The sequence below is a fragment of the Homo sapiens genome, chromosome 2, assembly GCF_000001405.40.
Source record: "Homo sapiens chromosome 2, GRCh38.p14 Primary Assembly".
NCBI classification, from domain to species: domain Eukaryota; kingdom Metazoa; phylum Chordata; class Mammalia; order Primates; family Hominidae; genus Homo; species Homo sapiens.
In genome coordinates, this window is record NC_000002.12 from 48840008 (window position 1) to 48855765 (window position 15758).

At 42.7% G+C, this 15758-nt stretch overlaps 2 annotated features.

Annotated features, from left to right (window-relative positions):
• Positions 705-1904: an enhancer, noted in NCBI's record as "MED14-independent group 3 enhancer chr2:49067851-49069050 (GRCh37/hg19 assembly coordinates)". NCBI's record gives its function as "activates an origin of replication core promoter dependent on BRD2, BRD4, P300/CBP and CDK7 cofactors, and independent of MED14, by STARR-seq in HCT116 cells {active_cell/tissue: HCT116}" and the evidence as "EXISTENCE:reporter gene assay evidence [ECO:0000049][PMID:35650434]".
• Positions 1112-1612: an enhancer, noted in NCBI's record as "H3K27ac hESC enhancer chr2:49068258-49068758 (GRCh37/hg19 assembly coordinates)". NCBI's record gives its function as "activates a minimal SCP1, AML or CMV promoter by ChIP-STARR-seq in naive and primed H9 embryonic stem cells {active_cell/tissue: H9 hESC(naive and primed)}" and the evidence as "EXISTENCE:reporter gene assay evidence [ECO:0000049][PMID:30033119]".

A 15758-nucleotide genomic window follows, 5' to 3' on the forward strand; every position in this document is an offset into this window, starting at 1 on the left:
CTGAAAAGTCACATGTCTTTGTTTGAGATTGGTTCCTGGTGCCTTATTTAGTTCATTTGGTGAGGTCATGTCATGTTTTTCTGGATGTCTTGATTATTATGGATGTTCATTGGTGTTTGGGCATCAAAGAATTAGGTATTTATTGTAGTATTTGCAATCTGGGCTTTTTTGTACTCATCGTTTTTTGGGAAAGCTTCCTAGGTATTCTAAGGGACTTAGGTGTTGTGATCTAAGTTTTTGGTCACTGCAGCCATATCTGTGTTAAAGTGTACCCCAATCCCAGTAACACTGTGGCACTTGCAGACTGGTAGAGGTACTGCTTTGGTAGTCCTGGATAAGATCTGGAAGAATCCTCTGTATTATCTGGCAGACACTCTATTTCTTTTCCCTTATTTTCTCCCAAATAAACACAGTCTGTCTGTGCTATGCTGCCTGGAGTTGGGAGAGGGGTGACATAAGCACCTCTGTGTCCACTACTACAGAGACTGTACTGGGTCAGACCTGAAGCAAGCACCGCATTAGGTACTGCCCAAGGCCCATGGTAAATACAGTCTGGCTACCATCTATGTTTGTTTAAGAACCTAGGACTCTACAATCAGCAGGTGGTGAAACCATCAGGCTTGTGTTCTTTCCTTCAGGTCAGTGAGTTTCCTTCAGTCCTGGCTGGGTCCAGAGATGCCATCGGGAGCCAGGGCTTGGAGTCAGAAACCTTAGGAATTTACCTGGTGCTGTATTTCTACTGTGGCTGAGCTGGCACCCAAGCCAAAAGATAAAGTCCATCTCACTCATTCCTCTTCTTCCTATTAGCAGAGGAGTGTCTTTCCCCAGCCACCTTTATCCCAAGCCTGTGGTGAGTACTACCTGGCTACCACTAATGTTCACTCAAGGCCCAGTGGCTTTTCAGTCAGCTTGTTTTGAATGCTGCCAGACCTGGGACTCTCTCTTCAGGGCAGTTGGCTCCCCTCTGGTTCAGGGCAGTTCCAGAAATGCCATTTAAGATCCAAGTTCTGGAAGTGGCAACCCCAAGAAACTGCTTGGTGGTCTACTCCACTGTGGTCAAGCTGGTATCTAAGCTGCAATACAAAATCCCCTTTACTCTTCCCTCTACTTTTCTCAAACATAAGGAGTCCCCTCACTATAGCTACCACAGCTAGGAATGTGCTGGGTCTCCTCTGAACCTATCGCCTCTCTGAGTCTCACCGGGAGCCTATGGTGAGTACTCTGTGGGTACCATGGATGAGTATTGAGGGATCAAGGGCTCTTCAGTCAGCAGGTAAAGAATTTTGCCTTTCACTTCAAGGCAGCAGATTCCTTTCTGGCCCAGGGCATGCCTAGACATGTCATCTGGGAAGTAGGGCCTGGAATAGGGGCCTCAGGACTCTTCCTGGTGCTCTATCCTACTGTGGCTGAGCTGGTATTCAAGTTGCAAGATAAAGAGCACTTTACTCTTCCCTTTCCTTTTCTCAAGGGGAAGAAAGGAGTCTCTCCTGGAGCTGTGAGCTGCATTGCCTGGGGTTGGAGGAAGGGTGATGCAAGCCCTCCAGTGGCCACCATAGCTGGTATCTCACTGGGTCCTGTGCCCCAGAAGTCCACTGGCTCCAAGCCCAGCACAGCACCAGGACTTGCCTAGGAATTGCAGTCCTTGTGGCCTAGACTGCCTTTCAAGTTTGTTTGTTTGTTTATTTATTTGAGACAAAGTCTCACTCCATTGCCCAGGTTGGAGTGCCGTGGTATGATATTGGCTCACTGCAACCTCTGCCTCCTGGGTTTAAGTGATTCTCCTGCCTCAGCCTCTTGTGTAGCTGGGATTATAGGCATGCATCACCACGCCCAGCTATCAAGTTTATTTGGAATACCAGAGCACTTTAGTCCATGGTGGCAAGGCTTGCTGGAACTCATGTTCCAACTGCTGGGATGGGCCATTCCTCTCTGGCTGGGGCTAGTCTAAATGCTCCTTTCCGTGGGCACCAGCTGAGTTCGGTCCAGTGTTGCTTTCTGCTCTTATAGGGCAGCACTGAGTTCCAATGCAAAGTCTCACAATCACTGTACTCTTCCTCCCCAAAGTGTGCAGATTCTTTCTCTGTGCCACGTGGCTGCTGCTGGGGTGTAGGGGACGGTTGGTATTGGTGATTCAAGAGTGTCTTTTCTACCCTCTTCAGTGCCTCTTTCAGTTATATAAAGGTAAAACCAGGTACTGTGATTACTCACCTGATTTTTGGTTCTTATGAAGGTGCTTTTTTTGTATGGACAGTTGTTCAATTTGGTGTTCCTTGGGGAGGATGATTGGTAGAGGTTTCTATTCAGCCATCTTGCTCTGCCTGTCTGCTCTGAGACATTTTGTTAAGTGACAAAAAGCATGAAAAATATGTATAAAGACCCCATTAATGCAAAAAGTGTGTATGTGTTCATATATGATTGAAATATATAAGTAAGTAACTTAAAGGAAACCCTAAGTTGTCATGCCTTTGGAAAGTGGCACGTGTTTGGAGGTGTGGAAGCAAAGGATACAATGTTCCATTTTACACTATATATCTATATTTATAACTGTATCTGGATCTATGTCTATATCTATACCTATGTCTTGTCAATGTTGATACAGATTTCTATATCTGTATTGTTTTGGGCTTTGAGTTCATAGAGTACTCATGTAATACAAATAACCTTTTTAAAGAAAAAATGGCCCTTCAACCTAGTCCTGGATTCACTCAGAAAATTATCACTGTCAGTAGAATGAAGGGGATGGCGAGAAAAGTCTAGAAAGGAACAAATGGTCACTTCTTGGCTCTGGTTCCTTCTTTCATCTCCCATCTTTCCAGTATAACCTGTAGCGGTAGAGAGCATCTGGTGGCACCTATGTGTGCTTGCCCAACCTTTTCATGACTCCTAGTCAACAAACACCTGAGGTTATATCTCTCTAAGTGGATGGTGCCAATTTGCAATGTTTTTACAATGCCTTGTTTCTTGTGCTTGGCTGATGTCCCTGGTGCTGCTGAGTGTGCTTGCTTGCTTTCGGTAGGTGGAATAGCAATTTGTCTTACACTCTGCTTTGCACTTGCTTAGTGGAACCACAAAGGAGAGCTTCTCATGCTGGGACCAGGACTGCAGACCATGAACTCAAAGCCCGTACTTTATTTATCAAATGGAATAGCTCTGCCAAAGGGATCTGTTGGAAACCCTGGTGTTATTTCCCAGGAAAAAAAGATAAAGAGCCTGCATTGAGCATTTGGAGTGCTCTGCATTGGCTCATGCTAATTAGAGGTTGGTGCTGGCATGGCACCTATACCTCAGGGATGCAAATCACACCTTCCACACAGGGAATGTATAGAATAGAGAAGCCAGAAAGGCAGAAGCTTAGGATTGTCCCCTTAGCTTTTCCATTGATTATTCATTTATTCAGCAAACATTTATTAGCTTTATTGACTCTGGTCTGCTTATGGAATTAATCAGTAGGCACATATCAAAGCCCACCATTTCTATGATTTTTCTCACACTGCCCTCTCCCTTACCTATTTTGACTCATTGTTCCTGGCTTGCTTTAGTTTGTCCCTGGCTTGCTTTCTTTTGTCCCTGGCTATCTGCTCTGTTGGTTGCACCCTTGTTCCCCATAGTGAGTATTCCAGGACCCACTTGATTTGAAGGACTGCCTGGACACAATTTGCCTGCCCCAACCCACAGCTCTGTTCCTGGATTGTGATTTGCGCTTGGTTCTTTGGTTTGTTCCTGGCCCACAGAAACCAAATGAGCTTGGTCAATCCTTTGGGATCTTCTAGGCAGTGGAGAGGATCAGATAATTCCATAGCCAGGCATTGTACTGGGGACTAGTTGGGAGTGGGAGGAATTGGGGCTACAAAGACTCATTATTTATTCATTCAAAAGACAGAAAAGTTTAAAAATACATAAAATATGTAGTCTATCAGATGTTGAAAAGTGCTTTGAAGAAAAATAAAGTATGTAAGGGGAATAAAGGGCACTGGGGTAGGAGGAAGGATGGAAATGTAATAGGGGGTTCAGAAAAGGTCTCGCTCAAAAGGCACCAGTGAGAGAGTCTGCATTGTGGATTGCTTGGGAAGAAGATACTCCAGATAATGGGAAGAGTAAGACAAAAGGCTCTGAAGTGACAGCATGCCTGGAATGTTGAAGAGTGACAGGCCAATGTGAGTAGTGACAGGAGAGGAGTCGGGGGCCATAAGCTCAGTAATATAATGGGTAGCCAAAGTGTGTGGAGCTTTGTAGTCCCTTATGAGGACTTCAGCTTTCATTGCCAATGAGGTGAGGAAGACAGTCACTACTAGTGGAGTCTCGTGAATCAAGGTGAACATCCTACAAGTGCACTACATTTGGATCATCTCATTTGGGTTGATGAAACAGGTGTCTTTGCAAGGCTGATGGAGAATAGCCATCTCTGCCAGGGGTCACTGGGGAAGAGCTGAGCCTGGAAGTATCAAGTGTTTTTCAGGCAGAAGTACTAGCATGGACAAAGGCTAGGATGTGTGATGTCATGACATCTTCAAAGAATGCATAATATTAATAGTTTGCTCAAGATGGCAGAACAAGGGTGGAGCGGCAGGAAGGGAGCTAAGGGAAGCCTAGTAAGCCGGCAGGCAGCAGATTAGACAAGCCTTATATGATGTAATAATGTGGTTAGATTTAATCCTTCAGTCATGGAAAACCACAAGAGGTTCACAAATACAGAAATGTGACTTACTCATTGGGAAAAAGAACATAATTTTACTCTTATACCTCAGTTTTCACATAACAGTGGGCAGGCTCAGGATCTAGAAAAAGAAATGAGATTGAGTTCTCACTTCTCAAACAGTCCTAACTTTCCTGATTTGTGAAATGGAGTTTTTATCTGCTTTATATACCTCACCAGGCTGCCACAAGGAACAAAAGAGATAGTGTATATGAAAGGGCACTGCTATCTGCAGAGTGCTCATTATCCCCATTTTCTCATCCACATGACCCAAGAGTGGGATTGGTGGACTTGGCAAAAGAATTGGGCAGTGTGCTTAAGTGGAAAATACATGGCTCTTGAGTTGAACATTAGTTGGAATCTTGGCCCACCACATACTGACTTTGTGACCTTGGACCACGTGAAGGACCACTCTGAACCTCAATTTCCCAATTAATAAAATGGGTTTTTGCTTCCCAGGATTGGTGTAAAGATTGGAGACAAAGTGTGTGAAGTGCCTAGCCCTGTGTGTGGTCCAGAGGAGAAGCTCCGTGTTAGCTGTTATTTTCTGAGTGTCATCACGGTAAACACATGATCAGATGGATACAGTCGTCCTGTGGGCAAGATACTGTGTCTGGTGCCGTGAGGTGGAGCTATTAATGCTGGTAGGATGTGCCATTGTGCTGCTTCTTTAATAGTGAGGATGTGTTTGTGCTGGTCCTTCACCTCACCTGGATCTGTTTGTGCTTGTGGCATGCTGTACATCTGCGGTCAGGGTACATTTTGGATACATGGAAAAAGTGTAGCTAATGGACCCCCAGGGTACCAGGCTTTTGGCTGATATGATGAAAACTGCAGGCTCTGCATGTCTAAGCTAACTAGCTGCAGCCCAGCTTATGGCCTTTGATTCAGACAGGCCAAAGGGAAATGGAGGGTGAAACATGGGTTCATATAACTAGCTCATAATTTCCTGCTACTGAGGAGGAAAGTCTTATTTTGTCTGAATTTAACAGAACAATTGTCCACATTGATTGAATTTTCCAAAAATCTTCTCATCTCCCTCCTCTGTTTTGTTTCAGAGCACACAGCTTCACATTTAAAAGACAGAAAAAGAAAAATTACTGTACAGCTGCGATTTCTCATTTGGCAGGCACCCAGCCATTTTCTCAGAATTTGACAGAATATGATCTCTCACTTAACTCACTTCTTAATACTGCCCCTGGGCAAGACTGAATTGAATCAGACCCTGGTTCAATCGTTATCTTGGCTGAAGATTCACACCTACAGTTCTTCCTATAGATTGTTCAGTGCGGCCACAGTGGACTCTGAGAAAAACAATCAGAAAACAATGTACTTGCCAAGCTGAAACAGGGCTCACTGTTGTTTCCAGCAGGGCTGCTTTTTAACAATTCTCCACAGTCATTAGTTATTCATTCATTCAATAAATAATTAAGCACCTAGCATGGTGCATAATACAAATAGTATAATCTATGGTATCTTCCTTCAGGGAACTTACAATTTAGTAGAGAAGTTAAGACGTACACAATTAACTAGATTGTCATGTGGGAGCACTAAGTGGATGAGAAATAGTAAAAGTAGGATTTGAAAGCAGGGAAAGTGACCTTTGGCTAGGAATTATTTCATGGAGCAGGTGGAAGGGTTTTGGTGGGGAGTTGAAGGAGTGGGGTATGCAGAGGTCAAGATGAGTAGGGATTGGTTGGTATCCCAATCTTAAGTGATGTGAGGAATAAGAATGGTGTGCTCTATAATTACTTTTAAAATTAAATTGAAGTGGTATCATTTGGAGTAATGCAGTCCAACAGTCTGAAACTTTTAAAGAGCATGCATAGAGGGAGATGAATTAGGAAACTAAGGGTAACAATGGATGTGGTGAGAAAGGGTGTGATTCTAGGCATATTTTAGACTTTCCAGTATCATTTTAGCTTCTGTATGTGCTGCCTTCCCAGAAGATCCTTGTCTTTCAGTTTTCTAAAAAAATACTATTGAGGGTAATTGCTGCCTGTGTGTGACACAGACATCTTCCCTCACTCCACCTATGGCACTACTGCCCTTTGAGTTATGGCTCTGCACCATTTCCAGCTGAGTTTCCTTAGGGTCATAGAACAACAGAATGAGAGGGCTTGGGCCGAGGGAGCTTATAGTCCAATCTCTCATTTTACAGATGAGGAAAATGAGGTTCATGGAGAGGTAAACTGGCTGGTCTAAGGCCTGACAGGTAGTTAGTAGTAGAGTGGGATCAAAACCAGGTGTCCTGATTCTGAGTCCCATGGTCTTCTTAGATCATCACCCACTATCTTGAAAGGAAACCAAGATGTGCTTCTCCTTTGTGGCAAAGACCATGAACCAAACTCATTTCTTCTTGCTCAAGCTAGTCTTCCCAGTTTTCTTTGCAACTAGGTGTGGCCATGTGACTGAGTTCTAGCCAGTAGAACGTCTCGGGAAGTATGAATGCTCACTCTTAGGCCTGGCCCATTAAAAACTTCCCTGCACAAGCCTCAAGCTCTTCCCCCATTTACTAACTAGATATTGATGCTCAGGGCAACCTCGGAAGCAATGTGTTAAAGATGGAGGAGCATCCATTATCCTGGAACCTTGAATGACTTCATGGAGAAGATACTCCTATCCCACCTTCCCATCCCAATTATAAATTCTATTGTGTAAGCCACTGAGATTTGTGGGTGTGTTAAAGAAGCTATTACTGTCTTATTAATTAGATAGCTATTACTATCTAATTGCACCTTGTCACCTTAAATCTGTAGAGAGGGGATTCAGTAAGACCAACTGAAGAACTTAATATGTGCCCCCTGCAATTGGACTTGGGTTTGACTCTTCTCCAAGAAATCTAGAGGACAAGACTCTTACTCAGCAAAACTGGGATGGATGGGTTGAGATTGGCCTGCATTCCCAGTATATATCAGGGCCAAAAGGGTAAGGACCGTTTGGTCATGCAGGAGAAAAAATCTGCCTAGAGCTGTTTTGACTCCTGTCCAAGTGGACTTTAAGGGAAGGAGACACTGATAATGAAGAGAATCTCTGGGTGGTGGGAAAACCTGAGGTGGAAGAAGAAGCAACGGTAGAGGAACCAATGACAGTGACCCAGCATTGGAGCTGCAAGTCAGAAGGAGCCTCCAAAGAACCTTGAAATCACTCACAAAGAAAGAATCAAGTTTAAAAATTAGTTAGGCCAAGGGTAAGATGCCAATTTAAGACCCTATCAGTCAAGTAAGGGCTTTCTGAGTCCCTTTCTTCTTCTCCCTCCCTGGTGTTCCAATTCTGGAGAGGTCAAAGAGAGATGAAGCCAACCATATGCCTTTTCTCAAGGCAGGAAGCCTGTCTATCATAGGTTTCTAACTGGTAAAGAAACGCAAAAGAGTCTTAACCATGAATGAAGATGGAAATGTGGATTAATATATTGGAGTGGAAATTATATTTTCTCAATCGAGTCTGTGTTTTACCACAGACAAATTACATCAGAGACCAAATTACATCAGAGGGCCTGACAGAGTTTTTATCTAGTGGCAGGGGAAAAATTCCCCAGATGATAAGGTTTTCAGGGTCAGTGGGAAACAAAGAATAAAGATGATTAATTCATCAAGTGACACTTGTTTAAGGTGACACCACCAGTTCCAAGCAGCATGATAAGCTCTTGAATGGGAGTGTGGGCTGGATGTTAAGGAAGCACATGTGAAGAGTACTGAATCCAGACCTGCTGGAAATGACATCAAAACTGGAACCTAATGGAAGAAGCAGAGTAAAGGTGGAGAAGGGCTGTCCTGACCCATAGAACAGTGAGCAGTGAGCAAAGGGGACTTTAAGGAGCTGAAAAACAAAATGTACGATGACTAGAATGCAAGAAGCAGGTAGTCCAGAGTGCTGCAGAAGCCAGCTGGTAGTAAACATGTTGAGAAATTTGGATAAACTTGAGGGACCTTGGGAAGCCTTGGAAGGATTTTAAACAGAGGAATGACATGATCTGTGTTTTAGAAATATTTCTCTGGCTGCCATGAATTGATTGGAGGAGGTAGGAGTGGAGGCTGGGAGACAGATTAAGAGGCTTCACAGGTGTGTGATTTTTGCCAAGAGTGTTCATCTGCTACGTGTAAGATGTTTAGGTTTATTTAGGGTCACAGATTGGTCCAGGAGGTGTATCGGAAACACGAAGGACATAAAACCTTGTCAACCTCTACTGCTCTGCCTTCTGGAACTTCAGCTCTCTGACCACAAATTCCCCTATATCAGATATTGGCAAATGATGGCCCATAGGCCAAATCTAGTTTGTTGCCTGTTTTTGTATAGCTCACAAGAATAATTCCTACATCTTAAAGTGGTTAAAACATAAGTTTTCACTGCATGAAAATTGTGACAGAGACTTGTGGCCCACAAAGCCTAAAATATTTATTATCTGGACCTTTAACAGAAAGTTTGCTCACCCCTGCCATGTATCCTCAATCTATACTTAAAATATTTCTTTTTTCACTTTCTCATCTTAACTTATTAGAATCAACTTTGGCTTCGTATTGTACTTACCTGGGGATCCTAAAAAGTTCTTATATGGGCTGGGCGGGGTGGCTTACGCCTGTAATCCCAGCACTCTGGGAGGCCGAGGCAGGCGGATTGCCTGAATTCAGGAGTTCGAGACCAGTATGGCCAACATGGTGAAACTCCATCTCTACAAAAATACAAAAAAGTTAGCTGGGCATGTTGGCATGCACCTGTAATCCCAACTACTCGGGAGGCTGAGTCAGGGGTATTACTTGAACCAGGGAGGTGGAGGTTTCAGTGAGCTGAGATCACACCACTGCACTCCAGCCTGGGTGACAGAGCAAGACTCTGTCTCAAAAAAAAAAAAAAGTTCTAATACATAGGATTCATTCTGAGAGATTCTGATTTAATCAGCCTGGGGATATGGCCTGAGCATTGGATTTTTAAATATTTATCACGTGGTCCTAATGTGTATCTAAGCTTGGAACCCCTGCATAATAAAAACCTGCCTGCCCCCAAGGGCATCTCTTAAGTGGACACTGTGTTCCACATTTCACATACCTTAGGGCAGGATATGGGTTAGTATCTATCCTGCTTCCAGGCCATGAACTCCTTTCTGCGTTTCAAAATTATTAGGTTTGAGGGTTAGCCACTCAGCTCTGAATACCCTTGCCCTATACTGGTTTATCATGGAGATTTCTTTACCGCTTTTATTCATTATTTTACCATCTGACTCATAGTCTAATTCTTCATATAATTCTTGGTGACTTCATCATCAACATGAACCATCCGGTGCTTGAGAACTTGAGTAGTTAAAACTACTCATCTTTTTTTTTTTTTTTTGAGACAAGGTCTGGCTCTGTTGCCCAGGCTGGAGTGTAGTGACGCAATCTTGGCTCACTACAATCTCTGCCTCCTGGACTCAAGCCATCCTCCCACCTCAGCCTCCTGAGTAGCTGTGACTATAGGTGCACACCGCCATGCTCTGCTAATTTTTGTATTTTTAGCAGAGATGGGGTTTTCATCATGTTGCCCAGTCTGGTGTTGAACTCCTGAGCACAAGCGATCTGCCTGCCTTGGCCACCCAAAGTGCTGGGATTACAGGCATGAACCACTGCACCTAGCTAAACCTACTCATCTTTAATGACCATTCTGTTGCCTCCTCCTCAACCACAAAATCTCATGGCCACACCTTGGACCCCAGGACTGCCATCACATATAAAATCTCAATTTTAAACATGTTACTTTCCAACCTTAACTTCCCACCCTTCTAGCTTACTTGTGGAAGTGTGCCCATTGCTTCCCATTTTCAACCTTACTTAAATCTTCAATCCAGTCATCCTCCCTCTTCCTCCTTACCAATTTCTTTTTTTTTTTTTTTTTTGAGACGGAGTCTCACTCTGCCACCCAGGCTGGAGTGCAGTGGCGCGATCTCAGCTCACTGCAAGCTCCGCCTCCCAGGTTCACGCCATTCTCCTGCCTCAGCCTGCCTAGTAGCTGAGACTACAGGTGCCTGACACCATACCTGGCTAATTTTTTTTGTATTTTTAGTAGAGACGGGGTTTCACTGTGTTAGCCAGGATGGTCTCGATCTCCTGACCTCGTGATCCTCCCGCCTCGGCCTCCCAAAGTGCTGGGATTACAGGCGTGAGCCACAGCGCCCGCCTCTTCCACCAGTTTCTCACTCTTCATCAATGTACTGGCTTTTCATCCTTCTTTGACTTGCCTAGATGCCATGTTTATGTTTATAATCACTCATCTGTAACTTAGAGAAGATAATGACAGGGCACCCACCTGGTAGAGTTGTGACGAGGATTAAGAGAGTTAATTTTTTTAGAGTACTTATGACAGTCCTTGACATACATTAAGAAGCTCAATAAATGTTAGCTGAATGTCACTGGAGAAAACATACCCACAAGCTGACTGTTTTCATTCAAAACTTGTGATCATGAACCTTAAGTGAATATTCCACTCTGCTACTGAACCTACTGTGTTTCATTGGTAAATTAGCCTTCCTACTCCTTAAGAGGACTCTTTCACACCACCTGTTTTCTCAAAACTCTTATGTATCTATCCTCACTTCTAGCTGATGGCCTTACCTCGTACTTTAGAATACATCTAGAATAAAATCCAGATTCCTTAGTATGACTCATGTGATCTGTCTGCAGAATCTTGCTCTGACTTGCTATAACTTCCTATATGTGGCTTTCCCCCTCAGTCTCCGGTCACCTCTGTAATACACCAAGCTCTCTCCCATTTCAGGGCTCTTGCACATGCCCTTCCCCTTGCCTGGAACGCTTTTCCTCCACTCATCTCATGACATTTATTAATGTTTTTGGGTCTATTTTAAATGCCATCCTTTTAGACAGGCCTTTCTATTTACTCTATATTAGTTTTCTATTGTTTCCATAACAAATCACTGTAAAATATAGAGGTTTAAATAATGCAGGTTTATTATCTTATGCTTCTGGAGGTAAGAAGTGTAATATCAAGGTGCTGGCAGGACTGAGTTCCTTCTGGAAGCTCTAGGGAGGAATGTGTTTCCTTTGCTTTACCAGCTTCTAGAAGTCACCTACATTCCTTAGCTTGTAGCTGCTTTTTTTCCACCTTCAAAATGTGCAACAGTGGGTCATGTGCTTCTCATGCTGCCATATTTTTGGTTCTTCCTTCCATTTCCCTCTTCCACCTTTAAAGACCCTTGTGATTACATTGGGCCAACCCAGTTACTCCAGAATAATCTCCCTATTTGAGGATTGGCTGATTAGAAACCTTAACTTCATCTGGAACCTTAGTCCTGTAACCTAACACATTCACAGGCTCCAGGGGTTAAGATGTAGACATTTTGGGGGTCATTATTCTGCCTATCACACTACCTAAAGTAGGCTTCCCTAATATTCTCTTGCTTAGCTCTTGTTTACTTTCATGAAACTAATCACAAATTTGAATTTATTTCATTCTTTTCTTGTTTTCTTTTTCTATTCCTTATCAGAATGTATTCTCTAGTAGGGCAGGAAACTCTCTGTCTTGTCTTTGTGTCTGTAACAAATGGTAAATTCTCAGTAAACATTGATTTAGTTGATGAATGAATAAAGGAAGAGTTGTGGATAGGATGGAGCTTGGAATTTAAATTGGAAAGAGATTAAGGTGAAACCTTGAAGAGGTAGTGAACATCCAGACATCAGAGGAGTAGCTAAGGAAAGCTGGAAGGTGGGAGGCTATGCACTGACAGTAGGACATTGGAATGTATAATGTCACAGGTGAAAAACACTTAGGGCAATTTTAATAGCCAGGGAAGTTATTTTTAATTATCCTTGGGGAGGTCATGGGGTCCTTTGACAATAAAATGGAAAGTATGGGCTCTCTAGGAAAGTACACAACATATGCATAAAATTTTGCATTTACTTCAGGAAGCCTACAGTTGTCCTCATCTTCAGTGAATGAGGGAGTGAGTTGGAGGTCAAAAATGACATTATAAGGAGGATAAAGTTATAGTGGTTAATGGTATGAGCCTTAAAAGACATTTCCTCCCAACACTGCATCATGGCACCTTAACTTATGCCAGAGTTGGTAATAGTGAGTGGGTTGCAAGTAAGAGATATATGGGCCACTTAGAATTGGTTACTGGGCCAAGATGGGGCAAAAGGAAATGAGATTTTCACCCCCTCCCCTTTATTTTAGGTTTGTAAGTATAATGTATGCTATAAAGTATAAAATAACTACTCAAGTTATCAACACTGTTCTTTTGGGACCGCATGCTCTTTGAAAATGAAGCTCTGGGGAAATGGGTAAGATAGCTGTAACCATAGACTCATGCAAAAGGGATGATAAATGTTGAATCTGGGGACAAGGGTCTTCTGACAACTGTTCTGAAAGGGTTATATTTCACAATTCTCACCACAAAGCATGGAATGAAATTTGAAGCTTTTATGTGATCATGTAGAAAGAATCTCTTATTGTTTATTAACTCTACAGGGTTGAGAATGCTGAAAATGAAACACAGAGATAGCATTTATAGTTGCTACATTACAGTATCAGTTAGATTTACATCTTCGCCAGGGCTGTGGCTAGTTAGAACATTGTTTGGGAAGCAGTGGAATCTAGACAACTGAGATGAGGGTTTCCAAGAGAATCCTGGGCATTTGGAGACTCTGGTTCTCCAAACTGCTGTAGGCACATCACACTACCCTTTCCTTAGGGGAGAAAACTGGCAGTTCTCCCTCATTCTCAGTGGCAGAGACCACTGGTTATCCCTTAATACTCTTTCTCCCTTTCTTCTAGAGAAATAGAATTTCTGATTTTTTGAGGGGTCCAAGGCATCTCAGAGTAAAGATTCCATTTTCGAGACCCCTTGTAGTTCAGTGGGATGATGTAGCTAAATTTTGGCAAGTGGGATAAGAGTGACTGGCGCAACTTCCAGGAATGGATTTTTCTCTTCTCTTTCTCTTTTTTCCTTCTTACTGGTTAGAATTCAGATATGATAGCTTAGATCAAATCAATCTATTGAATCATTAGGAGCCTATTGGACATAATGGAGCAATAAGATAATAGAATCTGGGTTCCTGGCACCATGGAATGCTATATTAGCTCTGGGCCACCTACCTGGACTTTTACGGGAGAGAAATATAATCCTGTCTTGCTTAAGCTATTGTTATTTGAGGTTTTTGTTACTCTCACCTGCCTAATTCTTATCCTTCTTGTCAGACACTCAGTGAGGTAGGGGAGGAATCTGATGATTTTATCAAGTAACCTGCTTTATGAATTATGGTTCGTGTTCCTGTGAATCTTGCTTCTGCTGATTTAGAGGTCTTGATATCTAAAGGGGAAATTCTTCCATCAGTGACAGGAATAGGTCCATTGAATCAGAAGCTGAGACTGCCACTTGGCCCATGTTAGGCTTCTCACACTATTTGCAAACAGAAAAAGGTGGTTATGAAGTTGACTGGATGACTCACCTTGATTACCAAGGAGAAGACAGGTGGCTACTATGTAAAAAATGGGTGCAATCTGAGGAAGCCTTTATGGTGCCAAGCCAAGTGGTCAAGGTTAATGTGTAATTGCTGTATCCCTCTACAGGAAAAACCATCAGGGGCTCAAACCCCCTGGAAGAGTCATTTCTCCTGTCTTGACAACCCAGCTGGTTCTTCAGAGGTTCTGGTTAAAGGTCAGAGGAACATAGAGTGGATATTAGAAGTCATGGAAAACTATAAACATCAGCTGTAGTATTATGGCCAGCTGGAGAAATGAAGTTACAGCCTCTACTTGCATCTTCTTTCATACTGTATAACATTTAAAAAAAGTTTTTCTTGCATTTTCGCTTTTCTACTCAGTTTACTTGGGGTTGCTTAACATTTATCATTTAACACTTAAGTGCAGACCATAGAGATATAATCATGAGAAGTTCGAGACCTAGAGAGTTCGAGACCTAAAGAACTCTGTGTATATGTGTGTGTGTGTGTGTGTGTGTGTGTGTGTGTGTGTGTGTGTGTGTGTGTGTGTCCTGGGCAGCTACCAGGCAATGGACCATGGTAGTTATTTATTTTTATCTGCCTATTATACTTTCCTGACCCCCTTCCCATTCCTTTTTCTGGTAACAGATGCTGTTACCCCTGATACTGTTCCAGGCTGGGCCTTCAAATAGTATCCCACGCCCTGGTTCCAGGGATAAGTTGGGCCAATTGCAGTCTTTATTCCAGAACTTCTAAACTTGAGCCAAGGCATGGGTGGATGGCAGGCTGTTGGAGCTGAATCACCTATGGCAATGCCTTTGAATGAAGCACTGCAGGTTTCTGCTCTTTGGATTTCCAACACTTTGATTTGTATCTTCCCTATGCCTGACAGTTCAGTTCTTCCTGCAATTTTGTAAATGATCTCAAGCTGCTCTCAATTTTATATTTATGTTAGGCAGAGTAATTTTCTGTTGCCTGCAACCAAAAGACATTAACACAGGATCCATGAATTCCAAAGTTAACATCGGCTTCACGCCTTGTCTAGTGAAGTTCAGATACTCCCACTTTACAGATAAGAGAAGGCAAGTGACTTTTTACAGCCAGCCAGAAAATTGGTGGAGCTAGCACTAGCACCAGCTCATTTGACTCTTTGTTCAGTACATTTTGAACTAGTTTATATTATGCTCAAACTGCTTCCTCTAATGAAAACACAAATGGGTTGCCTTTTTCTTCAAAGCAAAGTGGATATAAACATGATGGTACAGGCTGTGAAACAAGGGAAAATGTGAATCATCTTTGTCCATACTGGGCTTGGAAGCAAAATAGCAAAACATTAAAAGAAACACAACAAAACCTGCAAGTGTTGATTAAAGACAGAACAAATTGTCCCCAAAGTTACAATGTAAAACAAGGCAAATCCTGAAAATTAAGTTGACAAGCATATACAGCAATGTGATTTTTTTCTTAATTAAACTGACAAAGATCCCCAGTTCCACACAAATCAACAAAAAGCAACAAAACTACAGCACTAAAAGGAATGATATTAAGAGCTGCTGAAAGGAGAGTGCAAGAAAAAAAAATGTAATGAAATCCACACTTTGCTGACTTGATATCCCTGGGGTAGGTGGTTGGCTGGG